General features: G+C 39.0%; 2 long non-coding RNA genes across 2 annotated transcripts in view, besides 1 other annotated feature; both read left to right on the top strand.

Moving 5' to 3' along the window:
* Positions 1-16,498, top strand: part of LOC105370194 (uncharacterized) — a 47,059-nt gene that overhangs the window by 10,919 nt on the left and 19,642 nt on the right. The window lies entirely within an intron of this gene.
* On the top strand, positions 12,997-14,396 carry LINC00563 (long intergenic non-protein coding RNA 563). The gene has a single exon (NR_047493.1). It is a non-coding gene; the product is annotated as a long intergenic non-protein coding RNA 563 (long non-coding RNA).
* Positions 13,210-14,409: an enhancer, noted in NCBI's record as "CDK7 strongly-dependent group 2 enhancer chr13:46870567-46871766 (GRCh37/hg19 assembly coordinates)". NCBI's record gives its function as "activates an origin of replication core promoter dependent on BRD2, BRD4, P300/CBP, MED14 and CDK7 cofactors, with strong dependence on CDK7, by STARR-seq in HCT116 cells {active_cell/tissue: HCT116}" and the evidence as "EXISTENCE:reporter gene assay evidence [ECO:0000049][PMID:35650434]".

Raw genomic sequence — 16,498 nt, 5'->3', positions numbered from 1 at the left:
GGATTGGTTTTGATGTCACCTTTGAAATTTCTGATTGCACTTATTTGGATCTTATCTCTTTTTTTCTTTATTAATCTAGTAGTGGTCTATCGATCTTGTTTGTTCGTTAAAAGAACCAGCTTTTGGTTTTGTTGATCCTTTGTATGGATTTTGGGATACATGAAAAATAAAAAGAAATATTTCTTTGAGATTAAAAATGAGGCATTTCTAAAAAATGAGAGGGCTGAAATATTGAAGAAATCTCATGTACAATAGAAGCAAAGTTAAAGTGATAGAAAATATGAAAGAAAAGAAAATTACAGGATCAGTCTAAAAAGTCCTATAGGAACTAATAGAAGTATCATAAGGAGAAGTGAGAAAATAGGAGGAGAAAATTATCAAACAATAAAATGAGATCATTTCCTGTAATTGAAGGGCTTGAGTTCTAGGTGACAGGACTCACCAAGGGTCCAGCATAACAAATGACCAAAGACTGTCAAAACTTGCCATTATGAAATTGCAAAACACAAGAGGTAAAGATTCTAAAAGCTTCTAGAAACAACAACTCACAAAAGAGTGTGAGTCAGACCAATAGTAGACTGCTGAGTGGCAACATCAAAAGTTAGGAGATGATGGAGGCCTTTCTTCAAATTCTGAGTGACAATGATCTTCAGTCCAGAATTCTGGATTCGAATATACCACACACACTGATATTAGAATCAAGGCATTTTCTGACATACACATCCTCAAAACAATGCTCTCCCATTTACAAGTTATTGAGAAGTTACTGGAGGATGTGTTCCACTAAAACAAAGGAGTAAGCCAAGAAAGAGGAAGGTAAAATAAAAGGTCTAACACAGGACAATGGCATAAGCAAAGTCCTGAGATGACAGTGAAGGAAAGTGACAGGATAAAACTTGTATAGCCAACTTGGGAAGAAAACAGTCCAAGCTGAAGCAGGAGGACAGAGGACCCCAGAGAAAACACAAAAAGTAATTGATACAGTTGAGTATCTGGAAAATATTACTGATGAGTGTAAGACAATGATAAAAGAACACTAGGAAAAATTAGCCACTGGTGCATAAAGTATCACAGATGAAAACAAGAAAATGCTTATTCTTAGTAAAATGGAGGATTATATGATAAAGAGACCTGGTCATAGTTCACAAGTCACAGAAGGGGGATGATATTTGACTTCACCAAAAGCTGTGTCATAACTATACCAAGGTAATGTTAGGAGGGGAATTGGGAGTAAGAAATGGAATAGGTGAGATTTTTTTTCTACCATGACAGAAAGTCAATAAATACTACCTAAAATAGATAGAACAGAACATTTATAGTTTAAGCATATCAGTTGGAAATATGGAGGTAAATACCAGTAGAAAGAGCTAGAAATGTTGAGAGTGGTTACTGCTGGAACAGGACTTGGGGAGACAGGGCACATGGCTATGGATTTCACTATAAGCCTTTGGTTTTTTGTTTTTTGTTTGTTTGTTTTTGTGTGTGTGTGTGTGTTTTTGTTTTTGTTTTTGTTTTTGAGACAGAGTTTTGCTTTTGTTGCCCAGGCTGGGATACACTGGTGCTATCTTGGCTCACTGCAACCTCTGCCTTCTGGGTTCAGGCGATTCTCCTGCCTCAGCCTCCCAAGTAGCTGGGATTACAGGCGTGTGCCACCAGGCCAAGCTAATGTTTGCATTTTTAGTAGAGACAGGGTTTCACAATGTTGGTCAGGCTGGTCTCGAACTCCTGACCTCAGGTGATCCACCCCTCTCACCCTCCCAAAGTGCTGGGATTACAGGTGTGAGACACTATGCCCATATATTTTTTTTAAGTTTTAAAACTATGGATCTATATATGTTGAAAAAATTAATATTGATAATGTCACCAAAATCTGTATAAGTATTGTGTGTAATTAAAATTAATAAAATAAAAATTAAAATCACTTAAAATAAAAATGAAGTAAAACCTAATGTGTTAGTTCATTTTTGCATTGCTGTAAAGAAATCCTGGAGACTCGGTAATTTATAATGAAAAGAGATTTAATAGGCTCGCACGTCCGTCTGCAGGCTGTACAGGAAGCATGGTACCAGCATCTCCTCCCGGAGAGGGCCTCAGGAAGCTTCCAATCATGGTGGAAGGTGAAGGGGGAGCAGGCATGTCATATGGCAAGAGAGGAAGCAAGAAAGAGAGGGGGAGGACATACCATATTCTTTTAAACAACAGATCTTGCTTGAACTCAGAGCAAGAACATGCTCATTACCATGAGGAGAGCACCAAGCCATTCATAAGGAATCTTCCCCCATAACCCAAACACCTCCCACCAGGCCCCATCTTCAACATTGGGGACCATCCAAACCATATTCCCTCAATTACTCAAAATTAATTTTCACCGGAACTTCAATAAACATTCTTTTTATCTCTGTATGTGAAATATAAAGGAATGATAGAAATTAAGGCCAACCAGCTAATCCAAGAGATGGCATTTTTAAACAGCAATTTCCTGAAGAATCTTGTGGGATTGCCAGTCCAGCTTCCCCTGTCTTCTCTATTGTATTAAATCTATGTCAATCTTCAATAAGATTATTTTTAACATTTTCAGTCATCAAGAAAACTCCAACTACGTTAAATCTATTTACTTCAGAGAATAGACCAATACATTTAAGACTTTAAAAATATCAATAGTTGATATACAAAAGGACAGGGGCCATATCTATCTTATGTGTTTCTGTAATCGCAGGTCTAGAACTGTGCCTGGTGCATAGTAAATACTCAATAAATTCTCACTGGGTGAATGATTATTATGAACCAAGGAAGTCATTTGACCAGAAGATCCTATTCTCTTTGCATTCCGCTTCCTCAGAATTTTAACAAGTGCACCAAAGTGACATTCCATATTTCTGACTTCAATATGGGTATGGTTTTTGCCAATTAAAGAAATTATTTCATATTTAAAGATTACAATAAATAAACCACTAATCTGTCAATCTTCAAAGTCTGCCTGAAAATAAGATTAGTTTCTCTTGCATATGCATTGCCCAAGTTTCATGCTACAGAAATCCGCTCTCCACAGCCCTGCAAGTGTGAGTCAGTGGAGCACCAGCCACATCTTGTGGCATGCCATGCTTATTTTCTGGCATCTGCTGATCTGATGAGAAAGGGAACCTGACCTGAGGGAAGGCAATCCACTGGCCAGCCAGCAACCTCTGGTGCATTAAAATGAACTGGGGTAGTGAAGTGCTCTGTCTTGAAAACTTGGACTTAGATAAGGAGAAATGTAGTCAATTTGTGCTAGTGACAAACACAGAAAAGGTCACAGGACAAACACTGAAAAGAATAGAGTAGGGACGTTAAGAAGAAATGGCTGTGTTCCAGCCAAAGTTACAAAGAAGCGGAAACTGAGTAAGTAGAACAGTTGGTACTAGGACAAGAATAAAAGAACCCAGTTGGTAGATAAAGTCATACCAAAACTAGAGCCCTAGAGGGTAGAATGCCAAGGTGTAGGAATGTCTGAGTGGCAGCTCAAGTCCCTAGAGCAGCCACAGATCTAGAAACCCTCTCTCGATCCAGTCCCTATAACGGCTTTTGTTTCAAAATTTCAGAGACAGTTAATCTTCCCTATTATTTGTATCTTCATATAAATTCCCTTAACTTAAAGCTATCTTGAAGAGTTTATGTTGCTTGCAACCAAATGAGTCTCACCAGAAGTAACTTGGAATACGTTATTGAGACTGTGTCATTTTGATGTTGACAAAGATATTTTTGTTATGGGCTTCATACAAATAGAAAAGGATAGCAAATGCAAATGCATATGCAGATAATATTGTCGTATAAAGAGGACAGCCAGTACAGAAAGTATTGATTTCCCTAGGCAAGTGAATGGTAGGTATTCTCTTTCTATATCACAGGAAATTACATAGATTCTCTCCTAGGATGAGGGAGATATACACTCTATCACTGTTGACTCCAGGTACCTGGCATAATGCCTCACACATATTAGTTCCTCAATAAATAGTTGGGGAATGAGTGAATTCTGGTGTGTCCTGACTGCATGTTATGAGAAAACAGATGCAGCAATATTTTATTTGTTGAAAAGAAAGAAAGTGGGCCAGGCATGGTGGCTCATGCCTGTAATCCCAGGAGTTTGGGAGGCTGAGGTGGGTGGATCACCTGAGGTCAGGAGTTCGAGACCAGCCTGGCCAACATGGCAAAACCCCGTCTCTACTAAAAATACAAAAATAAAAATTAGCCAGGAGTGGTGGCAGGTGCCTGTAATCCCAGCTACTCGGAAGGCTGAGGCAGGAGAATCGCTTGAACCCGGGAGGCAGAGATTGCAGTGAGCTGAGATCACGCCATTGCACTCTAGCCTGGGCGACAAGAGTGAAACTCTGCCTCAAAAAAAAAAAAAAAAAGAAAGAAAGAAAGAAAGTAAAAATTCACATATAGGCTGGGTGTGGTGGCTCATGCCTGTACTCCCAGCACTTTGGGAGGCCAAGGTGGGAGGATTGCTTGAGCCCAGTAGTTTGAGGCTACAGAGAGCTATGATTGCACCACTGCACTTCAACCTGGGTGATAGAGCAAGATCCTGTCTCAAAAAACCACCACCCCCCCAAAAAAAGGATATTTGTCAGGAGACATTGCAATGGTTGCTCATTAATTCATTATTTATTTATGAAGCACTTTATGCTGGTACTGTGTTTGAGGCTAGGGCTAGAGAGCAAAAAAGACGCCAATGATTCCTGTCCTCAAGGAGCCTATAACCAGTAGGTATCACAGAAATTGAATAAATGATTACACGGGCTCTGAGTATGCAAAGGAATGAACAAGGTGCCACAGAAGCATCAAAAGGGGAAGTTCGAATCCAGTCAGGAGATAAGGGAACTTTTTAAAAAAAAATTTTGTGGGTACATACCCCATAGCAAGTGTATATATTTATGGGGTACATGAGATATTTTGGTACAGGCATAACAATGCATAGTAATCACATCATAGAAAATGGAGTATCCATCCCTTCAAGTATCTATCCTTGGTGTTACAAACAATCCAGTTATATTCTTTCAGTTATTTTTTAATATACAATTAAATTATTATCGACTATAGTCTCTCTGTTGTGATGTCAGGTACTAGGTTGTATTATTTCTATTTTTTGTACCTATTAACTATCCCCACCTCCCCCCAACCTCCCCACCGCCCTTCCCAGCCTCTGGTTACCATCATTCTATTCTCTATTCCATGAGTTCAATTGTTTTCATTTTTATATCCCACAAGTAAATGAGAATATGTGATGTTTGTCTTTCTGTGCCTGACATTTCACTTAACATAGTGACCTCCAGTTCCATCCATGTTGTTGCAAATGACAGAATCTCATTCTTTCTATGGCTGAATAGTACTCCATTCTTTTGTATGGCTGAATAGTACTTTATTTTCTTTATCGACTCATCTGTTGATGGACACTTAGGTTGCTTCCAAGTCTTGGCTATTGTGAACAGTGCTGCAACAACACATGGGAATGCAGATGTGCCTTTGATATACTGATTTCCATTCTTTTGGGTATGTACCCAGCAGTAGGATTACTGGATTGTATGGTAGCTGTATTTTTAGTTTTCTGAGGAACCTCCAAACTGTTCTCCATAATGATTGTACTAATTTACATTCCCACCAACAGTGTACAAGGGTCATGGAATGTTTCCTTGAGGAAGTTATGTTTAAGCTGAATAAAAAAAAATTAGTTAACTGAGGTCAGGCATGGTGGTTCACACATGTAATCCCAGCAGTTTCGGAGGCCACGGTATGTAGATCGCTTGAGCTCAGGGGTTAGAGACCAGTCTGGGCAAGATGGCAAATCTCCATCTCCACGGAAAAAAAAAAAAAAAATTTAGCCGAGCATGGTGCATACCTTAGTTCCAGCTACTCTGGAGACAGAGGTGAGAAGACAGCTTGAGCCCAGGAGATAGAGGTTACAGTGAGCCGAGATCACACCACTGCACTCCAGCCTGGCCAAAAAACAAACAAACTCCAACAAAAAAAGAAAATTAGTTAGTGGAGGCATGATTCCAGCATGTGTAAAGGTCCGGAAACTGGAAAAGTGTGGCCCATGTGAGGAACTGGAAGAAAACCAGAAAGATGCAGTCACAGACTGTGAGATGAGAGTGGCATGAGATGAGGCCAGATGAGGCCGAGCTGGAACCAGACCAATCATGCTGAGAAAAGGTGTTGGAAACCCACTGAATAACTTTTTACAACATAAACTGTATTTTATTAAGTATTTAAAAACATTTTATTCAAAAGACATGTTTATTTATTTTTAATTAACACATAATAATTGTACATACTTATGGAGTACCTAGTGATATTTTGATATATATGATGTGTAGTGATTAGATCAGAGTAAGTAGCATATCTGTTATTTCAAACATTTATGACTTATTTGCATTGGGAACATTCAAAATCCTGTCTTCTAGCTATTTGAAAATATGTAACATATGTTAACTAGAGTCATCCTATACTGCTGTAAAACGCTAGAACTTGTTCCTCCTATCTGGCTATAATTTCACGTTCTTTAACAAGTCTCTCCCTCTCCCCCTCTTTTCTTTCCTCTAGTAACCTCTGTTCTGCTTTTTACATCTGTGAGATCAACTTTTTTTCAGCTTCCACATAAGAGTGAGAAATACCACATATGACTGTGGTATTTAACTTTCTGTTTCTGGCTTATTTTATTTAACATAATGTCCTCCAGTTCCGTCCATGTTGCCACAAAGGACTGGATCTCATTCTTCTTATGGCTGAATGTATTCCATTACGTATATATGCCACATTTTCTTTATCCATTCATCTGCTGTTGTACATCTAGGTCGATTCCATATCTTGGCTACTGTGAATAGTGCTGCAATAAACATGGGGGTGCAGATGTCTCATCAGTATACTAACTTCCTTTCCTTCGGTTAAATACCCAGTAGCGAGACTGCTGGATCATATGTTAGTTCTGTTTGAAGTTTTTTGAGGAATCTCCATACTGTTCTCCATAGTGGCTGGACAAGTTTGCATTCCTGCTGACAGTGTATATGAGTTCCCTTTTCTCCTCATCCTTACCAGCATTTGTTATCTTTTGTCTTTTTGATAATAGCTATTCTAACTGGGTGAGATGATACTTCACTGGGTTTGATTTGCATTTCCCTAATCAGAGGAATTAAACTAATTAAATTAGTTAAACTTTTTTTTTTAACAAATTTGTTGGCCATTTGTATGTCTTCTTTTGAGCAATGTCTATTGAGATCATTTGCTCATTTATTGATTAGATTGTTTAAGGGATTTTTGTTGCTGAGATGTTTGAGTTCCTTATATATTCTGGATATGAATCCCCTGTTGATGAATAGTTTGCAAATATTGTATCCCATTTTGTAGGCTGTCTCTTCACTGTTGATTATTTCCTTTGCCATGTAGAAGATTTTTAGTATGATATAATCTCAGATGTTTATTCTTGTTTTTGTTGACTGTGCTTTTGAAGTCTTATTTATACAATCTTTACCCAGACCAATGTCCTGAAGTGTTTCTCCATTGTTTTCTTCTATAAGTTTTATAGTTTCAGGTCTTCCATTTAGGTCTTTGATCTATTTTGAGTTGATATTTATATAGGGTGAGAGGTGGGACCCTAATCTTTTTCCATCTGCATATGGAAATTCTGTTTTCCCAGCACCATTTATTGAAGAGACTGTCTTTCTCCAGTGAATATTTTTGGCGCTTTCCTCAACAATCAGCTGGCTGTAGATATGTGGATTAATTTCTAGGTTCTCTATTCTGTTCCACTGGTCTCTCTGGTTTTATGCCAGTACCATGCTGTTTTGGCCACTATAGTTTTGTAGTATTTTTTAGTGTCTGGTAGTGTGATATCTCCAGCTTTGTACATTTTGTTAAGGATTGCTTTGGTTATTCAGGGTCTTTTGTGGTTCCATATACATTTTAGAATTATTTTTTCTATTTCTGTGAAGAATGTCATTGGCATTTTAATAGAGATTGCATTGTATCTGTAGATTTGGGTAGTATGGTCATTTTAGCAATAATAATTCTTCTAATCCATGAACATGGAATGTCTTCCCATTTTTTAAATGTTCTCTTCAATTTCTTTCATAAGTATTTTATAATTTTTCTTATAGAGATCTCTCATTTCATTGGTTAAATTTATTCTGAGGTATTTGATTTTCTTTGTAGTTATTGTAAATGGGATTGCTGTCTTGATTTCTTTTTCAGGTAGTTTGTTGTTTGTGTATAGAAGTACTAGTGGATTTTGTATGTTGATTTTTGTATGCTACACTTTCACTGAATTTGCTTATCATTTCCAAAATTTTTTTTTGGTAGGCTCTCTAGGTTGTTAAATATATAAGACTATATCATCTGGAAATAAGGGTAATTTGACTCTCTCATTTCCAGTCTGAATGCCTTTTATTTCCTTTTCTTGCCTAATTGCTTTAGCTAGAACTTCCAGTACTATATTGAATAAGAGTGGTGAGAGTGAGCATCCTTGTCTTGTTCCAGTGCTTAGAGGAAAGCTTTCAATTTTTCTCCATTCAGTATGATGTTAGCTGTGGGTATATTATATACAGCCTTTATTGTTTTAAGGTACTTTCCTTCTATACTTAATTTACTAAATTTTTATTATAAAGCGATGTTGAATTTTATCAAATGCTTTTTCTGCATCTATTGAGATGGCCATATGGTTTTTGCCCTTCATTGTGTTGCTGTAATTTATCACATTTATTGAGCTCAATCAACATTTGCACATGTTGGTGGGGCACAGCGGCTCATGCCTGTAATTCCAGTGCTTTGGGAGGCCAAGGTGGGTGGATCACTTTGAGGTCAGGAGTTTGAGACCAGCCTGGCCAACATGGTGAAACCCAACCCCATCTCTACCAAAAAATACAAAAATTAGCCAGGTGTGGTGGCAGGCACCTGTAGTCCCAGCTACTTGGGGGGCTGAGGTGGGAAGATCCCTTGAATCCAGGAGGAAGAGATTTCAGTGAGCCAAGATCGTGCCACTGAACTCCAGCCTGGGTGAACAGAGTGAGAGCCTGTCTCAAAAAAAAAAAGGTCAACATTTACATATGTTGAACCATCCTTGCATCCCTGGAATAAATGCCCCACTTGGTCATGGTGTATGATGTTTTTGACATGCTGCTAGATTCAGCCTGATAGTATTATGTTCAAAATTTTTGCATCTATGTTCATTATGGACACTGGTCTGTAGTTTTTGTTGTGTCCTTACCTAGTTTTGGTATCAGAGTTATGTTTGCGTTTTAGAATGAGTTTGGAAGAATTTTCTGCCTTTCAATTTTTTAAAATAGTTTGAGAAGAAGCAGTCTTAAGTCTTCTTTAAAAGTCTGGCAGAATTCAGCTGTGAAGCCATCCAGTCCTGGACTTTTCTTTTTAAGGAGACTTTTTATTGCTGATACAATATTGTTACTCATTATTGGTATGTTCAGACTTTCTATTTCTTCTTGGCTCAATTTTGATAGGTTATATATGTCCAGGAATTTCTATATTTCCTCTAGGTTTTAAAATTTATTAGCATATAGTTGTTCATAGTAGTCTCCAATGACCATTTGTATTTCTGTGGTATCAGTTGTGATGTCTACTTTTCTGATCTTGTTTATTTGGGTCTTCTTTCTTTTTTTCATAGTTTATCTAGCTAATGGCTTGCCAATTTTGTTTATCTTTTTTAAAAATCAGATTTTTGTTTCATTTTTCTTTTGTATTATTTTTATGTCTCAATTTTATTTCTGCTCTGATCTTCATTATTGCTTTCCTTATAATTTAAAGTTTGATTTGTTCTTGCTTTTCTTTGAGATGCATCATTAGTTTTTTTTTAATTTGAAATCTTTCTACTTTTTTCTTTTTTTTGAGACAGAGTCTTGCTCTGTTGCCCAGGCTAGAGTGCAATGGTGCGATCCTGGCTCACTGCAACCTCTGCTTCCTGGGTTCAAGCAATTCTCCTGCCTCAGCCTCCTGAGTAGCTGGGATTACAGGCATACACCACCACACTGGCTGGTTTTTGTATTTTCAGTAGAGACAGGGTTTTGTCATGTTGGTCAGGCTGGTCTCCATCTCTTGACCTCAGTTGATCCACCCGCCTTGGCCTCCCAAACTGCTTGGATTATAAGCATGAACCACTGCACCTGGCTTCTTTCTACTTTTTTGATGTAGCTATTTACTGCTATAAACTTGCCTCTTAATCCTGCTTTTGTTGCCTCCCATTTGTTTTGACAGGTTATGTTGCTATTTTCATTTATTGCAAGAATTTAAAAAGTTCTCTTTTTAATTTCTTTCTTTACTCATTGGTCATTCAGGAGCATGTTGTTTAATTTTCATGTATTTGTATAGTTTCAAATGTTCCTCTTGTTATTGATGTGTAGTTTTATTCCAGTAGTCAGAAAAGATACTTGATATGACTTCAATTTTTTAAAAATTTAAACTTGTTTTGTTTCCAAACACATGGAATATTCCAACTATTCCATGTGCTGATGGAAAAAATGTGTCTTATTTAGCTATTGGGTGAAATATTCTGTAAATGTCTGCTAGGTCCATTTGATCTATGATGCTATTTAATTCCAATGTTTTTTTGTTAAATTTTGTCTAGATGATATGTCTAATGCTGTGAGATGTTATAATGCACAGCTACTGTTGTATTGGAGTCTGAATCTCCCTTTAGATCTAATAATTTGCTTTATATATCTAGACTATCCAGTATTGACTGCATATATATACAGTTGTTATATGTCCTTGCTGAATTGATCCCTGTATTATTATATAATGTCCCTTGTTTCTGTTTATAGCTTTTGAATTAAAGTTTGTTTTATCTGACATAGGCATGGCTACTCCTCCTTGCTTTTGGTTTCCATTTTCATGACATATCTTTTTCTATCCCTTCACATAAAGCTTGTATTTACAGGTGAAGTGAGTGTCTTGTAGGCAGCATATAGTTGGGTCTTACTTTTTTTTCAATTTGGCCAACCTATGTCTTTTAACTGAGTAATTTAATACATTTACATTCACAGTTATTATTGATAGGTAAAGACTTACTCTTATCATTTTATAGATTGTTTTCTGGTTGTTTTGCATATTACTTATTCCTTACTTCTTCTCATTGTTTATTTTTGCAGTTTGGTCATTTTCTGTAGTGATAAAGTTTGATTCCTTTTTTTCTCTCCTTTGTGACTACTGAATGAGTTTTAAGCAGGGCAATAATGTGATTAATTTTACATTTTGGAAAGCTGACTTTTGTTTTTTGTTTTTTGTTTTTGTTTTTTTTTTTAGATGGAGTCTCACTCTGTCATCGAGGCTGGAGTGCAGTGGCGTGATCTCGACTCACTGCAAGCTCCACTTCCTGGGTTCACACAATTCTCCTGCCTCAGCCTCCCGAGTAGCTGGGACTACAGGTGCCCGCCATCACGCCCGGCTAATTTTTTGTATTTTTAGTAGAGACAGGTTTTCACCATGTAGAGACAGGAGATCAAGCCAGGATGGTCTCGATCTCCTGACCTCGTGATCTGCCCACCTCAGCCTCCCAAAGTGCTGGGATTACAGGCATGAGCCACCATGCCCAGCCCTGACTTTTGTAGAATTATATAGCAAGCTAGCTAGAGTGGGGGAAGAGTTGATGTATATGGCCATACCACTTAGTAAATTATCACAATTGTCCAGATGAGAGATAATGATGGCCTGGAATGGAATAGTGGCAGTGGAACCAGAGACATTGGAGAGACATGTAAGAGGTGGAGGTAGAACTGACAGGACTTTGTAAGTTATTGGAAGTGGAGTGTGGCTATGAAAACATAAAACACTTGAACCATTCAACTTAATCCATATCCTGTATGTGTGTGTGTGTGTGTGTTGGAGGAGGTGGGTATGCTCTCAGCAATAAGAAATCTATTTGCCTGGGGGTAAACAATGCTACTGTCATTGACTTCATAATAGCTGTAGTTTCTGCTTTGCTTTTTGAGATAAAGCAGTCCTGACTGGGCCATGAGGCTATTGAGGTAAAAACTTTGTTGTACTTACTAATAGAAAGAAGAATGCACTACTAATTAGAGAAATGCGAATCAAAACAACAATGAGATGTCATCTCACACTGGTCAGATTGGCTATTATCAATAAGTCAAAAAATAACAGATGCTGGTGAGGTTGCAGAGAAAAGGGAATTCTTATATACTCTTGGTGGGAGTGTTAATTAGTTCAACCATTGTGGAAACCAGTGTGGTGATTGCTCAAAGAGCTAAAAACAGAGCTACAATTTGACCCAGCAATTCCATTACTGGGTATATACCCAAAGGAATACAAATTGTTCTACCAGCATTTGTTCGGTTAGGTTGCAGTAACAAACAATTCCAAAATCTCAGGGACAATGACAAAGGATTATTTTTTGCTTACAATATATGTCAGCTAGGGTTGACTATAGCTCTGCTCTACATGTCTTCTTCATTCTGGTTTACAGGCTGAAAGATTCACCCCTACCTAGGACACCCCCTTCCTTCCCCTCCCTGCCCCCACATTTTTTAAGAGAAGAAAAAAAGCCATGGCTGAACTATGCAATGATTTTTGTTGTTGTTGTTGTTGTTGAGATGGAGTCTTGCTCTGTCGCCCAGGCTGGAGTGCAGTAGCGCACTCTTGGATCACTGCAACCCCCACCCCCTGGGTTCAAGCAATTCTTCTGCCTCAGTCTCCCTAGTAGCTGGGACTACAGGCGTGCGCTACCACACCCAGTTAATTTTTGTATTTTTAGTAGAGAGAGGGTTTCACCGTGTTGGCCAGGCTGGTCTTGAACTCCTGACCTCAAGTGATCTGCCCGCCTTGGCCTCCCAAAGTGCTGGGATTACAGGCGTGAATGACTTCCAAAACTTCTGCTGAGACATGGTATAAGCCATCTGCTCACATTCCATTAACCAAGGCAAGTCCCTGGACCCAAGTCTGATGTCAATAGTGGGAAGAAATGTATTCCACAGGAAGGCCCATGGCAGTAGACCTGGATGTATAATTTTCTTGCAGGGAGAGTGTAAATAATCTGGAAGAAATACTGCAGTCTATCACAGATCCCAAAGATAGTTTCATCATTTGTATTTTTACAAATACTTACTGGATACTATTCCTTTCTGTGAGGCAAGAACAACCAGCTGTCATTCTCTAAAAATTTTCAGATATTAAGCACATATTCACCTCTGAACTTTAATGTTTTTTCTACATCAGCATTATTCAGAATCTCATCCAGGAACTATTTGCTAACAATCTGCAATGAGATAAGAAGATTATGCCAGGAAGTAAATCAACACACTGCTTCCTTCACCACGAAAGCCTTGCTACAAAAAATCAAATGGCAGCAGTACTGAACAGTGCACTTACTGATGTAGTTGGTTAACATTTTGGCTTAAGCTCCTTATCTTGTCATGGACAGGTACCGAATACTCTGGACTGACAGAGGTCGACAAACTATGCTCTGAGTGGCACTGTTCTGCAGCAAAGTGGTTTTACCCATAAGACCATTCAATTATAGAATTTTAGAACTGAAAGATGTCTTAGACACCATCTAGTCCAAGTTCCTGGTTTCACAGCCGAGGATCCTTAGAACCTGAAAGTTTTAGCAAACTTCCCAAAGCCACTTAGTGGTTGTGATGCAATATGAAGTAAAGGCCAACTGTCCTGACTCTTTCCAATCACCACCATGCCCTGAAATTCCTGAAGGAAGCAGAATTTCCTCTGAGGTTTCTGCTGAGTCATATGCAGGCTCCATCTGATGTAGAGATTCAGTAGAAGGGGCCAGGTTGCCTCCTGATGGGGGCAGCGTGTGGAGGATGAGCCTGGGCTTACTTGGCAGACAGATCTGGTCATGTTCCAGCTCTATCTCCTACTTGCAGAATGTCTTCGGGAAAATTACCTACATTCTCAAAGCCTCAGATTCTTGCTTTGTCAACATTCCTTGAAGATTGCTAAACTGAAGACTCTGGTGTTCCCTTTTGTGATAGGGAGAATAATAGCCCCCCAAAGATATCTACATCCTAATCCTTGGAACCTGTGACTATGTTATGTCACATGGCAATGGGAGACTTGAGGTTCCAGACTGAATTAAGGTTGATAATCAGCTGACCTTGAGATGGTGAGACTATCTGGGATCATCTGGGTGGGTCCAATGTCATCACAATGTTCCTTATAAGAGAGAGGCAGGAGAGAAAGAATCAGAAAGGCGGCAGCATGAGGAAGGCTCAGCCTGACATTGCTGGCTTAGAAGATGGAGGAGTGAGGCCATGAGCGAAGGAATGCAGGAAGCCTCTAGAAGCTGGAACACACCCCTGCTGACACCTGGACTTGTACCTAGTGAAACCCATTTCAGACTTCAGACCTCCAAAACTGTGCAGTAATAAAGCTGTTTTGTTTTAAGCCACTGATTTGTGGTAATTTGTTAGAGCAGCAATAGGAAAGGAATTCACCATTCATCTGAACATTGCTATTGCCTCCCTAGAGCAACTGTTACATCATCTTTTGGAAGATACAGCTTTTTTGAAGACACGTTTTATAGTGGTATTATTTGGCAGAATCTGCTCTAACACAAGCTAGCCAAGGCAGGAAGTCTGCTTCTTTAGAGGGCATAGTTTCTCTCTTGCTGTTTCTCAATCCTTTTTAGCTGTTTTAGTCATAGCTGGTCAAAAACAATGGTTTGCATTTAGGGGTCATTGCACTTGGGAATTTAAATGTACTCTAAAATAGCTGATAATCGGATTTTTTCCTCTTGCTTGATCATCAGTTTTAGTTAGAGCTGCAGTCTTTCTAACAGTGCTGCCCTTTTGCACTGTGTCAGACACTATTTGCCAGGGAAGAATTGAGGTTACATGGTGCCTGGCAGTGGTGGCAGACAGTTTGTGGTCTCCACACCTTGCAACACTGATCATCCTGTTTGATGCAACTCTTTGACGCAGTGTGAAAGGCGTTGCAGCAGGAGGAGGCGTCTCTGTTTGACCTATTTCCTTATATTTGAGCACAGATGTTGGGATTTGAATGCTTGATAATCAGATATACACTAAGTTGCATAAAATTCTCAGCATGCACTGACACAATAACACCGGTGATGAATTTGTTAGAAGAAGAGAAAAAGCACAGAGTGAGGCTCAAAGCAGCTTTGACACATACATACCCACATGCTTCCCATCACGTGTTCTGGACTCAGCTTCTCTTGATAACACAGGTGCTAGCGCTGAAGCTCTGGCTGTTGAGAAGAGGAACAGAGCAAGCTTCTTTCTGGTTCCTCAGAGTAAAGAAGCTGTTCCTTTTTCTGGAACAAACCATAGAAGTGTGGGAGGGTCTGACACTTGTAGATTTTCCCTTTTCTAGGTTTTTCTTTCCTTTTAAAAATAAAATAGCTAAGTCCAGTTCCAGGAAAAATAGTGAAGCATTTCCTCTATTTATTTAGGATTTATGCCATGCTTACTGCCTACAAAACTCAGAAGGACTAGAAAATTGAACCATTGGAAAACAGAGAATTTAAAACAAAGACAATTAAAATAACCACAAGAAGACACCATTTTCCCATATGAAAGTATTAAATATTTCAGAAGACAATTCTCAATGTCTCGATGATTGTGTAGTGGGAAGAACAAGTGTGTAGCCTGCCAGGAATGTACACTAGCAGGAACACAGTTTTCAGAAAACAAATTGGCTTCTCGTATGAAAAGCCTTAAACATGCTTACATTTATAACCTTGAAATTACACTGTGTGGAATCCACTCTTTTTTTTTTTTTTGAGACGGAGTTTCACTCTTTTGCCCAGGCTGGAGTGCAGTGGTGCGATCTTGGCTCACTGCAACCTCTGCCTTCTGGTTTCAAGCAATTCTCCTGCCTCAGCCTCCTAAGCAGCCGGGATTACAGGTGCCCACCACCACACCCAGCTAATTTTTGTATTTTTAGTAGAGACGGGGTTTCACCATATTGGCCAGGCTGGTCTCGAACTACTGACCGATCGACCCGCCTTGGCCTCCCAAAGTGCTGGGTTTACAGGCGTGAGCCACCGTGCCCAGCCAGAATCCACTTTTTCTTAACTCTACTTGCTTCAGTTTACTGACCTATAAAACAGAGATATTAATAGGAACCATTTCATAAAGTGATGTGAGAATTAGATCATGGATAACTGGCACAGTGTGTGCCCGACAAATGTAAGACATCATTATTAATAAAAAAGTAAAAATATTTTTAGGCAAAAATTATTACAGCATCATGGCATAGAAATTTAGGGCACTGATAGCTCGGTGTTCTGGAGTGAACCTGCAGCCCAGGTTCCTGGGGTTTTGAGGTCCTTGGGTACACACTGTGAAAAAGTACCCACTTGTTACTGTTGCACCTTGAGTTCCTGTTGTTTCAAAAAGACCCAGAAAGAAGCTCAGCCTCTGCAAAACAAAAAACTGGTTGAATCGGGAGATGCCTGCTGTGTTGGAGATGAAATTTGGGGAACTCTCCTCATTCCCATACTAAAAAAACCTGCCCAGGGAGAAGCCTG

The sequence above is a fragment of the Homo sapiens genome, chromosome 13 (genome assembly GCF_000001405.40).
Source record: "Homo sapiens chromosome 13, GRCh38.p14 Primary Assembly".
Taxonomy (NCBI): Eukaryota; Metazoa; Chordata; class Mammalia; order Primates; family Hominidae; genus Homo; species Homo sapiens.
The sequence above is the reverse complement of the archived record's forward strand: the minus strand, read 5'-3'. Positions and strand labels throughout refer to the sequence as shown.